Source organism: Homo sapiens, chromosome 3 (assembly GCF_000001405.40).
Source record: "Homo sapiens chromosome 3, GRCh38.p14 Primary Assembly".
Classification (NCBI taxonomy): Eukaryota; Metazoa; Chordata; class Mammalia; order Primates; family Hominidae; genus Homo; species Homo sapiens.
In genome coordinates this window covers 153,229,205-153,246,720 of record NC_000003.12, presented here as the reverse complement: position 1 = coordinate 153,246,720, position 17,516 = coordinate 153,229,205, and the positions used below count along the sequence as shown (strand labels likewise).

Below are 17,516 nucleotides of genomic sequence, written 5' to 3'. Positions count from 1 at the left end.
ATAAAATGCTACAAAGCTTTATATGTGTGTGTGTGTGTGTGTGTGTGTGTGTGTGTATAAATTTAAATGGTACAAGGGAAGTTTTGTTACATGGATATATTGCATAATGGTGAAGTCTGGATTTTTAGTGTAACCATCAACCAAATACTGTACATTGTACCCATTAAGTAATTTCTCTTCCCTTATCCCCTTCCGCTTTTCCAACTCTCCAATGACTATTATTCTACATTCTATGTCCATGTGTATATATTATTTCACTCCCACTTATAAGTGAGAACATGTATTTGACTTTCTGTTTCTGAATTGCTCCACTTAAGATAATCACCTCCAGTCAAAAGAAATGATTTTATTCTTTTTTATGACTGAATAGTATTCCATTGCATATATATATATATATATATATCACACATATATATATATATATATCACACATATATATATATATATATCACATATATATATATATATATATCACATTTGCTTTAACCACCCAACCATTGATGGACACCTAGGCTGATTCCATATCTTTGTTATTGTGAATAATGCTACTGTAACATACAAGTGCAGGTATCTTTTTTTTTACACAATAGGTATCTTTTTATGTAATGATTGTTTTTCCTCTGGGCATTTCAGTAGAGGGATTGCTAGGTTTCATGGTGGGTCTAATTTTAGTTTTCTGAGAAATCTCCATACTGTTTTCCACAGGGTCTGTACTAATTTGCACTCCCACCAACAGTGTATAAGCATTCCCTATTCTCTGCATCCTCAACAACATCTGTTATTTTTTGACTTTTTATTATAGCCATTCTGACTGGTGTAAGATGGTGTCTCATTGTGGTTTTATTTTGCATTTCTCTGATGATTCGCGATGTTCAGCATTTTTCATGTGCTTCTTGGTCATTTGTATGTCTTCTTTGCAAAATTTATATTCATGTCCTTTGCCCACTTTGTAATGGGATGATATGTGTTTTTCTCATTGTTTGAGTTCATTGTATATTCTAAATATCAGTCTCCTTTCATATTAATAGTTTGCAAATATTTTCTCCCATTCTGCAGATTGTCTGTTCACTCTGTTGATTATTTCTTTTGCTCTGCAGAAGCTTTTCAGTTAATTAAGTCCCATTTGTCTATTTTTGGTTTTGTTGCCCACGCTTTTGAGGTCTTAGTCATGAATTCTTTGCCTAGACCAATGTCCAGAATAGTTTTCCCTAGATTTTCTCCTAACATTTTTATAGATTCAGGTGTTACTTTTAAGTCTTTTATCCCTCTTCGTTGATTTTTGTAGATAGTGAGAGACAGGGGTCCAGTTTCATTCTTCTGCATATGGTGATTCAATTTTCCCAGCACCATTTATTGAAAAGGGTGTCTTTTTCCCAGTGTGTATTTTTGTCAACCGTGTCAATAAGATCAGTTGGCTGTTAGATATTTGGTTTTATAAAATGATACAGAGTTTTAATGTAAGTTTTTCATCGCAGACAACGTCATTGGTGGTGGTGAACAGCTCTCTGAGAAGACTGAGTCAGTTTAAACTATTTCATAAGTATTACATTACACAACACTTCAGCAAGTAAAAAGCCTCTTTAAATTTACTATACAAAAGGGTGGGGTGACATACATTTGAAGACTAATTCTATGTCAAGATAACAGAACACTGTTTTTCTAAAAACAAACTGGAATTAGATCATCTACAAAATAAGTTGAAATGAGTTGATAGAGGAAGGAGAACTGGTAGAATAAGTCTGCTTATTTTGTACAGTAAAATATTCCATTCTGTACCACACCATTTCTCGCGTTGTGGCTTCTCTTATATGAACTGTAAATAATATACGTTCCCAGACAATAGGTTGGAACCTAGTGATCTTTGCCAAGCCTTTATGAAGATATTTGAAGACATCTTCTAAGCATCCATCTTGTTCCAAGCACCGTTCTAGTCCCTGAGGAGACAGAGCAATATATCCAGCCCCTATCCGAATCCTATGGGATTTCCGGTGAAGAGACAGATCCGGCTGGTAGCATTTTCCATGCCTTCAGGAAATTTGAAAGTCCAACCCAAGGACCTCAGCACCATTCTTCTCTATTCTCCATTCCCAAACTCCAGCCACTGTACATGTGCACACACTTACAGGAGCCCCACTTCCTTTTAATCCCAGCCTTCCATTTGTTATTATGTACTGTACACAGAGTGTGGCTGATGGATACACACAAAAAAATTGCAGTGCTAGAAGGGGCAGATTCTCTCTCAGGCAGATTCAGAGAAATGAAATCATCTCTTCCATACTCTACTAAACTGCTTCAAAGTAAAATGAATCAAGAATGATGCCAACTAACATTTGAAAAACTAAGTTAACGTACCACAGTCAGTCTTTTTAATATAGCGGACCTCTTTCTTAAATAAATTATATATAAAAGATATCAGAACTACAGAACAGATGAAAAAACAAAGTTGTTTTACTTAACCTAATGGTGCTTCCCAAACTCTTGTTACAGCATGGTAAAAAGAAAATACGGCCAGGCGCAGTGGCTCATGACCGTAACCCCAGCACTTTGGCAGTCCAAGGCAGGAGGATCGCTTGAAGCAAGGAGTTCAAGACCAGTCTGGCCAACATAACGAAACCTCGTCTCTATAAAAATACAAAAATTAGCTGGGTATGGTGGCATGCACCTGTAATCCCAGCTACTTGGGAGGCTGAGGGAGAGAACTGCTTGAACCTGGGAGGCAGAGGCTGCAGTGAGCCAAGATCATGCCACTGGACTCCTGTCTGGGCAATAGAGGGAAACTCCAACTCAAAAAAAAAAAAAAAGAAAAGAAAGAAAGAAAGAAAGAAAATCACAATGTATTTATGGCATATTAGGGTGAAAAGACTTTTCTAAAGATGGACTACCTAGAAAAGACCCATATCTCGGCATACTTACTTTTCGTGGGATTTTTGTGGGAAGCTCTGATCTAAAACTTTGATTGTAAAGTATTTTATTTCATGAAATAAGTGAGCCGCTTTTTTTTTTTTTTTTTTGAGACGAAGTCTCAGTCTGTTTGCCAGGCTGGAGTGCAGTGGCGCGATCTCGGCTGACTGCAAGCTCCGCCTCCCAGGTTCACGCCATTCTCCTGCCTCAGCCTCCCTAGTAGCTGGGACTACAGGCACCGTGAAATGCTTTTTCTAATTAGTCCCTCTAATACCTTCAAGGAGACTGCGATGTACCCCCAAAGGAGAGGTTCACAATTTGAAATGACTGTTGGAATACATTTTTTTACTCCTAGAAGGGTGCCATGAATCGATGGCATAGATTACATAGAAAGAAAAATCATCGATAAACACAAGCATACCTCAGAGGTATTGCAGGTTCAGTTCCAGACCATCACAATAAAGCAAATATTGCAATAAAGCAAGTCACACAAATGTTATGGTTTCCCAGCATATATAAAAGTATATTTACACTATACTGTAGTCAGTTAAATGTACAATAGCATTGTATCTAAAAAATAATGTATATATCTTAATTTTAAAATACTTTATTGCTATAAAATGCTAACAATCACCTGAGCCTTCAGTGAGTCGCAATCTTTTTGCTGGTTGAAGGGTCTTGCCTCAATGTGGTTGGCTGCTGACTAATCAGGGTGGTAGGTGCTAAAGGCTGTGGCAATTTCTTAAGACAGCAAGGAAATTTGCCAACTTGATTGACTCTCTTTCATGAAAGCTTTCTCTGTAGCATGAGATGCTGTTTGATAGCATTTTACCCACAGTAGCATTTCTTTCAAAATTGGAGTCAGTCGTCTCAAACCCTGCTGCTACTTCATCAACTAAGTTCATGTAATTCTCTCAATCCTTAGTTGTCTTTCCAACAATGTTCACAGCATCCTCGCCAGGAGTACTTTCCATCTCAGGCAATTAGTTTCTTTGCTCATCCACTAGAAGAAATTCTTTGTCCATTCAGATTTTATTATGAGATTGTAGCAATTCAGTCACATTTTCAGGCTCCAGTTTTAATTCTTGTTCTGCTATTTTCACCACATCTGCAGGGACTTTCTCCACTGAAGTTTTAAACTCCTCAAAGTCAACCATAAATGTTAAAACCAACTTCTTCCAAACTCCTGTTAAGGTCAATATTTGGACCTTCTCCCATAAATCACAAATCTAGAATGCTGAATCCTTTCTAGAAGTTTTCAATTTACTTTGCCCAGAACTATCAGAGGAAACAATATCTATGGCACCCACAGCCTTACAAAATTTAATTCTTAAATAATAAGACTTGAAAGTTAAAATTATTCCTTGATTCATGGGTTGCAGAATGCATGTAGTGTCTGCAGGCATAAAAACAACATTCACATACCTGTACATCTCCATCAGAGTTCTTGAGTGACCAGGTGAATTTGTCAATGAGCAGTAATCTTTTGAAAACAAAAAATCTTTTTTCTGAGAGTAGGTCTCAACAACAAGCTTAAAATATTCAGTAAATCATGCTGTAAACAAATGTGTGGTCATCTGGGCTTCGTTCTTCCATTTACAGAGCATGAGCAGAGTAAATATTGCATAATTCTTAAGGATCCTAGGATTTTCAGAATAGTAAATGAGCATTGGCTTCAACTTAAAGTTACCAGCTACATTAGCCACTAACAAGAGTCAGCCTGTTCTTTGAAGCCAGGCATTGACTTCTCCTTTCTAGCTATGAAAGTCCTAGACGGCATCTTCTTCCAATAGAAGGCTGTTTCATCTACATTGAAAATCTGTCATTCAGTGTAGCCACCTTCACTAATGACCTCAGCTAGATCTTTTGGAGAATGCTGTAGCTTTTACATTGTACTTGCTGCATCATCTTGAACTTTTACGTTATGGAGATGGCTTCTTTCCGCAAGCTTCAAGAACCAATCTCTACTAGCTTCAAACCTTTTTTCTGCAGCTTCTCCACCTCTCTCACACTTCACAGAATTAAAAAGAGTTAGAGAGGAGCCAAGATGGCCAAATAGGAACAGCTCCGGTCTACAGCTCCCAGCGTGAGCGACGCAGAAGACGGGTGATTTCTGCATTTCCATCTGAGGTACCGGGTTCATCTCACTAGGGAGTGCCAGACAGTGGGCGCAGGTCAGTGGGTGCATGCACCGCGCGCGAGCCGAAGCAGGGCGAGGCATTGCCTCACTCGGGAAGCACAAGGGGTCAGGGAGTTCCCTTTCCAAGTCAAAGAAAGGGGTGACGGACGCACCTGGAAAATCAGCTCACTCCCCCCCGAATATTGCGCTTTTTGGACCGGCTTAAAAAACGGCGCACCACGAGATTATATCCCGCACGTGGCTCAGAGGGTCCTACGCCCACGGAGTCTCGCTGATTGCTAGCACAGCAGTCTGAAATCAAACTGCAAGGCGGCAGCGAGGCTGGTGGAGGGGCGCCCGCCATTGCCCAGGCTTGCTTAGGTAAACAAAGCAGACGGGAAGCTCGAACTGGGTGGAGCCCACCACAGCTCAAGGAGGCCTGCCTGCCTCTGTAGGCTCCACCTCTGGGGGCAGGGCACAGACAAACAAAAAGACAGCAGTAACCTCTGCAGACTTAAATGTCCCTGTCTGACAGCTTTGAAGAGAGCAGTGGTTCTCCTAGCATGCAGCTGGAGATCTGAGAACCAGCAGACTGCCTCCTCAAGTGGGTCCCTGACCCCTGACCCCTGAGCAGCCTAACTGGGAGGCACCCCCCAGCAGGGGCACACTGACACCTCACATAACAGGGTATTCCAACAGACCTGCAGCTGAGGGTCCTGTCTGTTAGAAGGAAAACTAACAAACAGAAAGGACATCCACACCAAAAACCCATCTGTACATCACCATCATCAAAGACCAAAAGTAGATAAAACCACAAAGATGGGGAAAAAACAGAACAGAAAAACTGGAAACTCTAAAACGCAGCGCGCCTCTCCTCCTCCAAAGGAACGCAGTTCCTCACCAGCAATGGAACAAAGCTGGATGGAGAATGACTTTGACAAGCTGAGAGAAGAAGGCTTCAGATGATCAAACTACTCTGAGCTACAGGAGGACATTCAAACCAAAGGCAAAGAAGTTGAAAACTTTCAAAAAAATTTAGAAGAATGTATAACTAGAATAACCAATACAGAGAAGTGCTTAAAGGAGCTGATGGAGCTGAAAACCAAGGCTCGAGAACTACGTGAAGAATGCAGAAGCCTCAGGAGCTGATGCGATCAACTGGAAGAAAGGGTATCAGCAATGGAAGATGAAATGAATGAAATGAAGCGAGAAGGGAAGTTTAGAGAAAAAAGAATAAAAAGAAATGAGCAAAGCCTCCAAGAAATATGGGACTATGTGAAAAGACCAAATCTACGTCTGATTGGTGTACCTGAAAGTGACGGGGAGAATGGAACCAAGTTGGAAAACACTCTGCAGGATATTATCCAGGAGAACTTCCCCAATCTAGCAAGGCAGGCCAACGTTCAGAATCAGGAAATACAGAGAACGCCACAAAGATACTCCTCGAGAAGAGCAACTCCAAGACACATAATTATCAGATTCACCAAAGTTGAAATGAAGGAAAAAATGTTAAGGGCAGCCAGAGAGAAAGGTCGGGTTACCCTCAAAGGAAAGCCCATCAGACTAACAGCGGATCTCTCGGCAGAAACTCTACAAGCCAGAAGAGAGTGTGGGCCAATATTCAACATTGTTAAAGAAAAGAATTTTCAACCCAGAATTTCATATCCAGCCAAACTAAGCTTCATAAGTGAAGGAGAAATAAAATACTTTACAGACAAGCAAATGCTGAGAGATTTTGTCACCACCAGGCCTGCCCTAAAAGAGCTCCTGAAGGAAGCGCTAAACATGGAAAGGAACAACCAGTACCAGCCACTGCAAAATCATGCCAAAATGTAAAGACCATCGAGACCAGGAAGCAACTGCATCAACTAACGAGCAAAATCACCAGCTAACATCATAATGACAGGATCAAATTCACACATAACAATATTAACTTTAAATGTAAATGGACTAAATTCTCCAATTAAAAGACACAGACTGGCAAATTGGATAAAGAGTCAAGACCCATCAGTGTGCTGTATTCAGGAAACCCATCTCACGTGCAGAGACACACATAGGCTCAAAATAAAAGGATGGAGGAAGATCTACCAAGCAAATGGAAAACGAAAAAAGGCAGGGGTTGCAATCCTAGTCTCTGATAAAACAGACTTTAAACCAGCAAAGATCAAAAGAGACAAAGAAGGCCATTACATAATGGCAAAGGGATCAATTCAACAAGAAGAGCTAACTATCCTAAATATATATGCACCCAATACAGGAGCACCCAGATTCATAAAGCAAGTCCTGAGTGACCTACAAAGAGACTTAGACTCCCACACATTAATAATGGGAGACTTTAACACCCCATTGTCAACATTAGACAGATCAATGAGACAGAAAGTCAACAAGCATACCCAGGAATTGAACTCAGCTCTGCACCAAGCGGACCTAATAGACATCTACAGAACTCTCCACCCCAAATCAACAGAATATACATTTTTTTCAGCACCACACCACACCTATTCCAAAATTGACCACATACTTGGAAGTAAAGCTCTCCTCAGCAAATGTAAAAGAACAGAGAGTATAACAAACTATCTCTCAGACCACAGTGCAATCAAACTAGAACGCAGGATTAAGAATCTCACTCAAAACCGCTCAACTACATGGAAACTGAACAACCTGCTCCTGAATGACTACTGGGTACATAACGAAATGAAGGCGGAAATAAAGATGTTCTTTGAAACCAACGAGAACAAAGACACAACATACCAGAATCTCTGGGACGCATTCAAAGCAGTGTGTAGAGGGAAATTTATAGCACTAAATGCCCACAAGAGAAAGCAGGAAAGATCCAAACTTGACACCCTAACATCACAATTAAAAGAACTAGAAAAGCAAGAGCAAACACATTCAAAAGCTAGCAGAAGCCAAGAAATAACTAAAATCAGAGCAGAACTGAAGGAAATAGAGACACAAAAAACCCTTCAAAAAATTAATAAATCCAAGAGCTGGTTTTTTGAAAGGATCAGCAAAATTGATAGACCGCTAGCAAGACTAATAAAGAAAAAAGAGAGAAGAATCAAATAGACACAATAAAAAATGATAAAGGGGATATCAACACCGATCCCACAGAAATACAAACTACCATCAGAGAATACTACAAACACCTCTACGCAAATAAACTAGAAAATCTAGAAGAAATGGATAAATTCCTCGACACATACACTCTCCCAAGACTAAACCAGGAAGAAGTTGAATCTCTGAATGGACCAATAACAGGAGCTGAAATTGTGGCAATAATCAATAGTTTACCAACCAAAAACAGTCCAGGACCAGTTGGATTCACAGCCGAATTCTACCAGAGGTACAAGGAGGAACTGGTACCATTCCTTCTGAAACTATTCCAATCAATAGAAAAAGAGGGAATCCTCCCTAACTCATTTTATGAGGCCAGCATCATTCTGATACCAAAGCCAGGCAGAGACACAACCAAAAAAGAGAATTTTAGACCAATATCCTTGATGAACATTGATGCAAAAATCCTCAATAAAATACTGGCAAACTGAATCCAGCAGCACATCAAAAAGCTTATCCACCATGATCAAGTGGGCTTCATCCCTAGGATGCAAGGCTGGTTCAATATACGCAAATCAATAAATGTAATCCAGCATATAAACAGAGCCAAAGACAAAAACCACATGATTATCTCAATAGATGCAGAAAAAGCCTTTGACAAAATTCAACAACCCGTCATGCTAAAAACTCTCAATAAATTAGGTATTGATGGGACGTATTTCAAAATAATAAGAGCTATCTATGACAAACCCACAGCCAATATCATACTGAATGGGCAAAAACTGGAAGCATTCCCTTTGAAAACTGGCACAAGGCAGGGATGCCCTCTCTCACCACTCCTATTCAACATAGTGTTGGAAGTTCTGGCCAGGGCAATTAGGCAGGAGAAGGAAATAAAGGGTATTCAATTAGGAAAAGAGGAAGTCAAATTGTCCCTGTTTGCAGACGACATGATTGTATATCTAGAAAACCCCACTGTCTCAGCCCAAAATCTCCTTAAGCTGATAAGCAACTTCAGCAAAGTCTCAGGATACAAAATCAATGTACAAAAATCACAAGCATTCTTATACACCAACAAGAGACAAACAGAGAGCCAAATCATGAGTGAACTCCCATTCACAACTGCTTCAAAGAGAATAAAATACCTAGGAATCCAACTTACAAGGGATGTGAAGGACCTCTTCAAGGAGAACTACAAACCACTGCTCAATGAAATAAAAGAGGATACAAACAAATGGAAGAACATTCCATGCTCATGGGTAGGAAGAATCAATATCGTGAAAATGGCCATACTGCCCAAGGTAATTTACAGATTCAATGCCATCCCCATCAAGCTACCAATGACTTTCTTCACAGAATTGGAAAAAACTACTTTAAAGTTCATATGGAACCAAAAAAGAGCCCGCATTGCCAAGGCAATCCTAAGCCAAAAGAACAAAGCTGGAGGCATCACACTACCTGACTTCAAACTATACTACAAGGCTACAGTAACCAAAACAGCATGGTACTGGTCCCAAAACAGAGATATAGATCAATGGAACACAACAGAGCCCTCAGAAATAACGCCACATATCTACAACTATCTGATCTTTGACAAACCTGAGAAAAACAAGCAATGGGGAAAGGATTCCCTATTTAATAAATGGTGCTGGGAAAACTGGCTAGCTATATGTAGAAAGCTGAAACTGGATCCCTTCCTTACAACTTATACAAAAATTAATTGAAGATGGATTAGAGACTTAAACGTTAGACCTAAAGCCATAAAAACCCTAGAAGAAAACCTAGGCATTACCATTTAGGACATAGGCATGGGCAAGGACTTCATGTCCAAAACACCAAAAGCAATGGCAACAAAAGCCAAAATTGACAAATGGGATCTAATTAAACTAAAGAGCTTCTGCACAGCAAAAGAAACTACCATCAGAGTGAACAGGCAACCTACAAAATGGGAGAAAATTTTTGCAACCTACTCATCTGACAAAGGGCTAATATCCAGAATCTACAATGAACTCAAACAAATTTATAAGAAAAAAACAAACAACCCCATCAAAAAGTGGGCAAAGGACATGAACAGACACTTCTCAAAAGAAGACATTTATGCAGCCAAAAGACACATGAAAAAATGCTCATCATCACTGGCCATCAGAGAAATGCAAATCAAAACCACAATGAGATACCATCTCACACCAGTTAGAATGGCAATCATTAAAAAGTCAGGACACAACAGGTGCTGGAGAGGATGTGGAGAAATAGGAACACTTTTACACTGTTGGTGGGACTGTAAACTAGTTCAACCATTGTGGAAGTCAGTGTGGAGATTCCTCAGGGATCTAGAACTAGAAATACCATTTGACCCAGCCATCCCATTACTGGGTATATACCCAAATGACTATAAATCATGCTGCTATAAAGACACATGCATACGTATGTTTATTGCGGCACTATTCACAATAGCAAAGACTTGGAACCAACCCAAATGTCCAACAATGGTAGACTGGATTAAGAAAATGTGGCACATATACACCATGGAATACTATGCAGCCATAAAAAATGATGAGTTCATGTCCTTTGTAGGGACATGGATGAAATTGGAAATCATCATTCTCAGTAAACTATCACAAGAACAAAAAACCAAACACCGCATATTCTCACTCATAGGTAGGAATTGAACAATGAGATCACATGTACACAGGAAGGGGAATATCACATTCTGGGGACTGTTGTGGGGTGGGGGGAGGCAGGAGGGATAGCACTGGGAGATATACTTGATGCTAGATGACGAGTTAGTGGGTGCAGCGCACCAGCATGGCACATGTATACATATGTAACTAACCCGCACAATGTGCACATGTACCCTAAAACTTAAAGTATAAAGAAAAAAAAAAAAAAGCCAAGATAGAATTCCAAATAAATTGGTATAGGTATGGCAAAAAAAAAAAAAAAAAAAAAAGAGTTAGAGCCTTGCTCTGGATTAGGCTTTAGCTGAAGGGAGGGTTGTGGCTGGTTTTATCTTCTATCTAGACCACTCTACCTTTCTCCGTATCAGCAATGTCTCTTTTGCTTTCTTGTTACTCTTGTGTTCACTGGAGCAGCATTTTTAACTCCCTTCAAGAACTTTTCCTTTGCATTCAGAACTTGACTAACTGTTCTTCACAAGAGGCCTAGCTTTCAGCCTATCTTGGCTTTTGACATGCCTTCCTCACACTAAACTTAATTATTTCCAGCTTTTGATTTAAAGTGGGAGACACGTGACTCTCATTTGAACACTGAGAGGCCATTGTAGGGTTGTTAACTGGCTTCATTTCTTTTTTTTCTTTTTTTTTTTGAGACAGAGTTTCGCTCTCATTGCCCAGGCTAGAGTGCAATGGCACAATCTTGGCTCACTGCAACCTCCACCTCCTGGGTTCAAGCAATTCTCCTGCCTCAGTCTCCTGAGTAGCTGAGATTACAGGCATGTGCCACCACAACCGGCTAATTTTGTATTTTTAGTAGAGATGGGGTTTCACCATGTTGGTCAGGCTGGTCTTGAACTCTGACCTCAGGTGATCTTCCCACCTTGGCCTTCCTAAGTGCTGGGATTATAGATGTGAGCCACCATGCCCAGCCAACTGGCTTAATTTTTTTTTTTTTTTTTTTTTTCTCCTGGAGACGGAGTTTCACTCTTGTTGCCCAGGCTGTAGTGCAATGGCACGATCTCGGCTCATTGCAAACTCCACCTCCCAGGTTCAAGTAATTCTCCTGCCTCAGCCTCCTGAGTAGCTGGGATTACAGGCATGCACCACCACACCTGGCTAATTTTGTATTTTTAGTAGAGACGGGGTTTCTCCATGTTGGTCAGGCTGGTCTTGAACTCCCAACCTCAGGTGATCCACCCACCTTGGCCTCCTAAAGTGCTGGGATTACAGGCGCGAGCCACCGTGCCCGGCTGGCTTAATTTCAATATTGTTATGTTTCAGAGAATAGAGGGGCCTGAGGAAAAGAAAGATGAAGGAACACCCAGTGAGTAGAGCAGTCAGAACACACATAATATTTATCAATTAAGTCTGCTGTCTTATATGAGTGAGGCTCATGGCACCCCAAAATAATTATTATTAGTATCAAAGATTACCAATCACAGATCAACATAACAGATATGATAATCACGAAAATTTTGAAATATTCCAAGAATTACCAAAATGTGACATAGAGATACAGAGTATGCAATCATGCTGTTCGAAAAATGGTGCCAATAGACTTAGTATACACAGGGTTGCCACAAACCTTCATTTTGGGCAAAACACAAGACCTGTAAAGTGCAAAATGCCTGTACTGAGCAAGGATTTACCAGCTCAATTCCTTTGTTTTACAAATGAGTAAACCAGGGACAGGTACTTTCAGTGGCAGGAAGTTATGAAAGCAAATAAAGACAAGATTTCTTAACTCTCTACTTCTGGTCTCTTGGCATCACACTACTGGTTCCCAAATGGAGTTTCCAGAATGGCAGCATGAATGTTATCTAAGAATTTGCTAGCAATGCTACTTTTCAGGTGCTGCTCCAGACCTAATGAATCAGGAGCTCCAAGAGTGAGGCCTCAGCAAGCTGTGTTTTAACAAGTCCTCCAGGCAGTTCTAATGCACATTAAAGTATTAAGGAGGCCTATTTGCATCAAGATTGCACCTGTGCAGTCAGAAAGCCAAGCATGAGCTGGAGCATTTGTGAGTGGAATAGGGATTCCCTCTGACTAGGGAGACTGACTTGTGGGTTAAAGTAGCTAATCAGAGAAGGGACATTATGAGTTTAGGATGTAAGTGGAAACTACAATTCTCTAAGTACTATCAGGTCTGTTGTGGCCCAGATTTTTCTGCCTTCTTATCTCTTCCAATAAAAGTTTCAACTGCACATTTGAGGACTTGAAGGGATAATTTCTAATTGTATAATGAAAACCAGTAGAAGGGGGAAAAAAAGTGGGCTGGTCGTGGTGGTTCACACCTGTAATCCCAGCACTTTGGGATGCTGAGGCGGATGGATTGCTTGAGCCCAGAAGTTCGAGACCAGCCTGGGCAACATAGAGAAACCTCATGTCTACAAAAACACAAAAATCAGCCAAGCATTGTGTAGTCCCAGCTACTTGGGAGGCTGACTTGGGAGGATCCCTTAAGCCCAGGAAGCGGAGGTTGCAGTGAGCTGAGATGGCACCACTGCACTCCAGCCTAGGCAACACAGCAAGACTCTTTCTCAAAAATAATAATAGTAATAATAATGATAATAATTTTTCAGATTGGCCTTTGTTGCTTCTTGCGTTAAGTATAATTATTTTAAAAATAGCAAACCTTTCTAGATTTAGTATATAATCTGTGGGAGATTAAGTGGAAGAAAGAAGAAAACATTTCTTGCAGACGAGGCACAGTTAAGTTCGCCTATTTTTACAACATCACTGCTAAATTCCTTTGCCCTGAAAAACACTCAGATTTATTTTCCATATGACTCATCACCAAATTTCTGTTCTTTAGATGTGGATCCTACATTGTGTGGGTCAGAAATATCAAACAACTAAATATTTTTTTAATGCGCAGTTTACATTTTAGTCCAAGAATAATTCTATCATAAGGAACCAAACAAGTAGAAAATTCTTTCATGATTGAAAAACTCATGTTAAGCTTAGCAGTTTTAGTAGCATTAAAATACTTTTAAGTTATATCCTCAGGACATCCAGGAATAATAAAAGCTACAACAAACACTGTTGCCATTAGTTAAACTTGGCTCATGCAAAGATCTTGTAAACAAAATCTTGCTCTTAAAAGAGAGATGCACTAAATTTCACTCATTTCCTTTTATCTCTATCTTTTCTAAAGCCATGGACTCACATTTCAAGATAATGCCTTTTAAACTCTTAATCAAATATTTACTTAATAAAATTTAGCTATCATGGGAGAAGTACAACTCTCTCTCAGTCCCTGAAACCATAATGTTCAAGATAATTATCAGGGAGACATTTACTCAATTTGTTAATTTTCTATTTACCACCTATTATGGTTTAAAAATAGTTTGTTCCCACCAAAACTCATGTTGAAGCCTGTTCCCCAGTGTGGCTTTGTTGAGAGGTAGTGCCTTTAAGAAGTGATTAGGTCATTAAGATGGATTGTCAGGCCTCTGAGCCCAAGCTAAGCCATCATATCCCCTGTGACCTGCACGTAGTACACATCCAGATGGCCAGTTCCTGCCTTAACTGATGACATTCCACCACAGAAGAAGTGAAAATGGCCTGTTCGTGCCTTAACTGATGACATTATCTTGTGAAATTCCTTCTCCTGGCTCATCCTGGCTCAAAAGCTCCCCTACTGAGCACCTTGTGACCCCCACACCTGCCCGCCAGAGAACAACCCCCCTTTGACTATAACTTTCCTTTACCTACCCAAATCTTATAAAATGGCCCCACCCATGTCTCCCTTCGCTGACTCTCTTTTCGGACTCAGCCCGCCTGCACCCAGGTGATAAAAAGCTTTATTGCTCACACAAAGCCTGTTTGGTGGTCTCTTCACACGGACGCGCATGAAATTTGGTGCCGTGACTCAGATCGGGGGACCTCCCTTGGGAGATCAATCCCCTGTCCTCCTGCTCTTTGCTCCGTGAAAAAGATCCACCTACGACCTCAGGTCCTCAGACCCACCAGCCCAAGGAACATCTCACCAATTTTAAATCGGGTAAGCGTCCTCTTCTTACTCTGTTCTCCAACCTCTCTCACTATCCCTCAACCACTTTCTCCTTTCAATCTTGGCGCCACCCTTCAATCTCTCCCTTCTCTTAATTTCAATTTCTTTCATTTTCTGGTAGAGGCAAAGGACACACGTTTTATCCGTGGACCCAAAACTCCGGCGCTGGTCACGGACTCGGGAAGGCAGCCTTCCCTTGGTGTTTAATCATTGCAGGGATGCCTGATTATTAACCCATGTTTAAGAGATGTCTAACCACGCAGGGATGCCTGCCTTGGTCCTTCACCCTTAGCGGCAAGTCCCGCTTTTCTGGGGGAGGGGAAAGAACCCTGACCCCTTCTCTCCCTGTCTCTACCCCTTCTCTGCTTTTCTTGGGGGCAAGAACCCCCCCGATCCCTTATTTCTGCACCCTGACCCCTTATCTCTGCACCCCGATCCCTTATTTCCATGTCCCAACCTCTTATCTCTGTGCCCTGATCCCTTATTTCCATGCCCCAACCTCTTATCTCTGTGCCCTGATCCCTTATTTCCATGCCCCAACCTCTTATCTCTGTGCCCCAACCCCTTATTTCTGTGCCCTGACCTCTTATCTCTGTGCCCTGATCCCTTATTTCCATGCCCCAACCTCTTATCTCTGTGCCCCAACCCCTTATTTCTGTGCCCCGACCCCTTTCCCACTTTTCTGGAGGGTAAGAACCCCCAAACCCCTTCCCTCCATATCTCTACTCTCTCTTTTCTCTGGGCTTGCCTCCTTCACTATAGGCAACCTTCCACCCTCCATTCCTCCTTCTTCTCCCTTATTCTGTGTTCTCAAGAACTTAGAACCTCTTCAACTCACACCTGACCTAAAACCTAAATGCCTTATCTTCTTCTGCAACACCGCTTGGCCCCAATACAAACTTGACAATGGCTCTAAATGGCCAGAAAACGGCATTTCGATTTCTCCATCCTACAAGACCTAAATAATTTTTGTTGAAAAATGGGCAAATGGTCTGAGGTGCCTTACGTCCAGGCGTTTTTCACACTTCATTCCCTCCCTAGTCTCTGTTCCCGATTCCTCCCAAATCCTCCTTCTTTCCCTCCTGCCTGTCCCCTCAGTCCCAACCCCAAGCGTCGCTGAGTCTTTCCAGTCTTCCTTTTCTACAGACCCATCTGACCTTTCCCCTCCTCCCCAGGCTGCTCCTCGCCAGGCCGAGCTAGGTCCCAATTCTTCCTCAGCCTCTTCTCCTCCACCCTATAATCCTTTTGTCACCTCCCCTCCTCACACCCAGTCCGGTTTACAGTTTCGTTCCGTAACTAGCCCTCCCCCACCTGCCCAGCAATTTCCTCTTAAAAAGGTGGCTAGAGCTAAAGGATAGTCAAGGTTAATGCTCCTTTTTCTTTATCTGACCTCTCCCAAATCAGATAGCGTTTAGGCTCTTTTTCATCAAATGTAAAAACACAGCCCAGTTCATGGCTCGTTTGGCAGCAACTCTGAGATGCTTTACAGCCCTAGACCCTAAAAGGTCAAAAGGCCGTCTTATTCTCAATATACATTTTATTACCCAATCCGCTCCTGACATTAAATAAAACTCCAAAAATTAAATTCCGGCCCTCAAACCCCACAACAGGACTTAACCTCACCTTCAAGATGTACAATAATAGAGTAGAGGCAGACAAGTAGTAACGTATTTCTGAGTTGCAATTCCTTGCTTCCACTGTGAGACAAACCCCAGCCACATCTCCAGCACACAAGAACTTCCAAACGCCTAAACCGCAGTGGCCAGGCGTTCCTCCAGGCCCGCCTCCCCCAGGAGCTTGCTACAAGTGCCAGAAATCTGGCCACCAGGCCAAGGAATGCCAGCAGCCCAGGATTCCTCCTAAACCACGTCCCATGTGTGTGGGACCCCACTGAAAATCAGACTGTTCAACTCACCTGGCAGCCACTCCCAGAGCCCCTGTAACTCTGGCCCAAGGTTCTCTGACTGACTCCTTCCCAGATCTTCTCGGCTTAGCAGCTGAAGACTGACACTGCCTGATTTCCTCGGAAGCCCCCTAGACCATCACGGACGCAGAGCTTCAAGTAACTCTCACAGTGGAGGGTAAGTCCGTCCCCTTCTTAATCAATACGGAGGCTGCCCACTCCACATTACCTTCTTTTCAAGGGCCTGTTTCCCTTGCCTCCATAACTGATGTGCGTATTGACGGCCAGGCTTCTAAACCTCTTAAAACTCCCCAACTCTGGTGCCAACTTAGACAATACTCTTTTAAGCACTCCTTTTTAGTTATCCCCACCTGCCCAGTTCCCTTATTAGGCCGAGACACTTTAACTAAATTATCTGCTTCCCTGACTATTCCTGGACTACAGCCACATCTCATTGCCGCCCTTCTTCCCAATCCAAAGCCTCCTTTGCGTCCTCCTCTTGTATCCCCCCACCTTAACCCACAAGTATAAGATACCTCTACTCCCTCCTTGGCGACCGATCATGCACCCCTTACCATCTCATTAAAACCTAATCACCCTTACCCCACTCAACGCCAATATCCAATCCTGCAGCACGCTTTAAAAAGATTAAAGCCTGTTATCACTCGCCTGCTACAGCATGGCCTTTTAAAGCCTATAAACTCTCCTTACAATTCCCCCATTTTACCTGTCCTAAAACCAGACAAGCCTTACAAGTTAGTTCAGGATCTGTACCTTATCAACCAAATTGTTTTGCCTATCCACCCCATGGTGCCAAACCCATATACTCTCCTATCCTCAATACCT

The 17,516-nt window shown here is 41.7% G+C and overlaps 1 long non-coding RNA gene across 1 annotated transcript in view; it reads right to left on the bottom strand.

Moving 5' to 3' along the window:
* The window catches only part of LOC105374164 (uncharacterized), a 67,936-nt gene that overhangs the window by 1,805 nt on the left and 48,615 nt on the right, over positions 1 to 17,516 (bottom strand). The window lies entirely within an intron of this gene.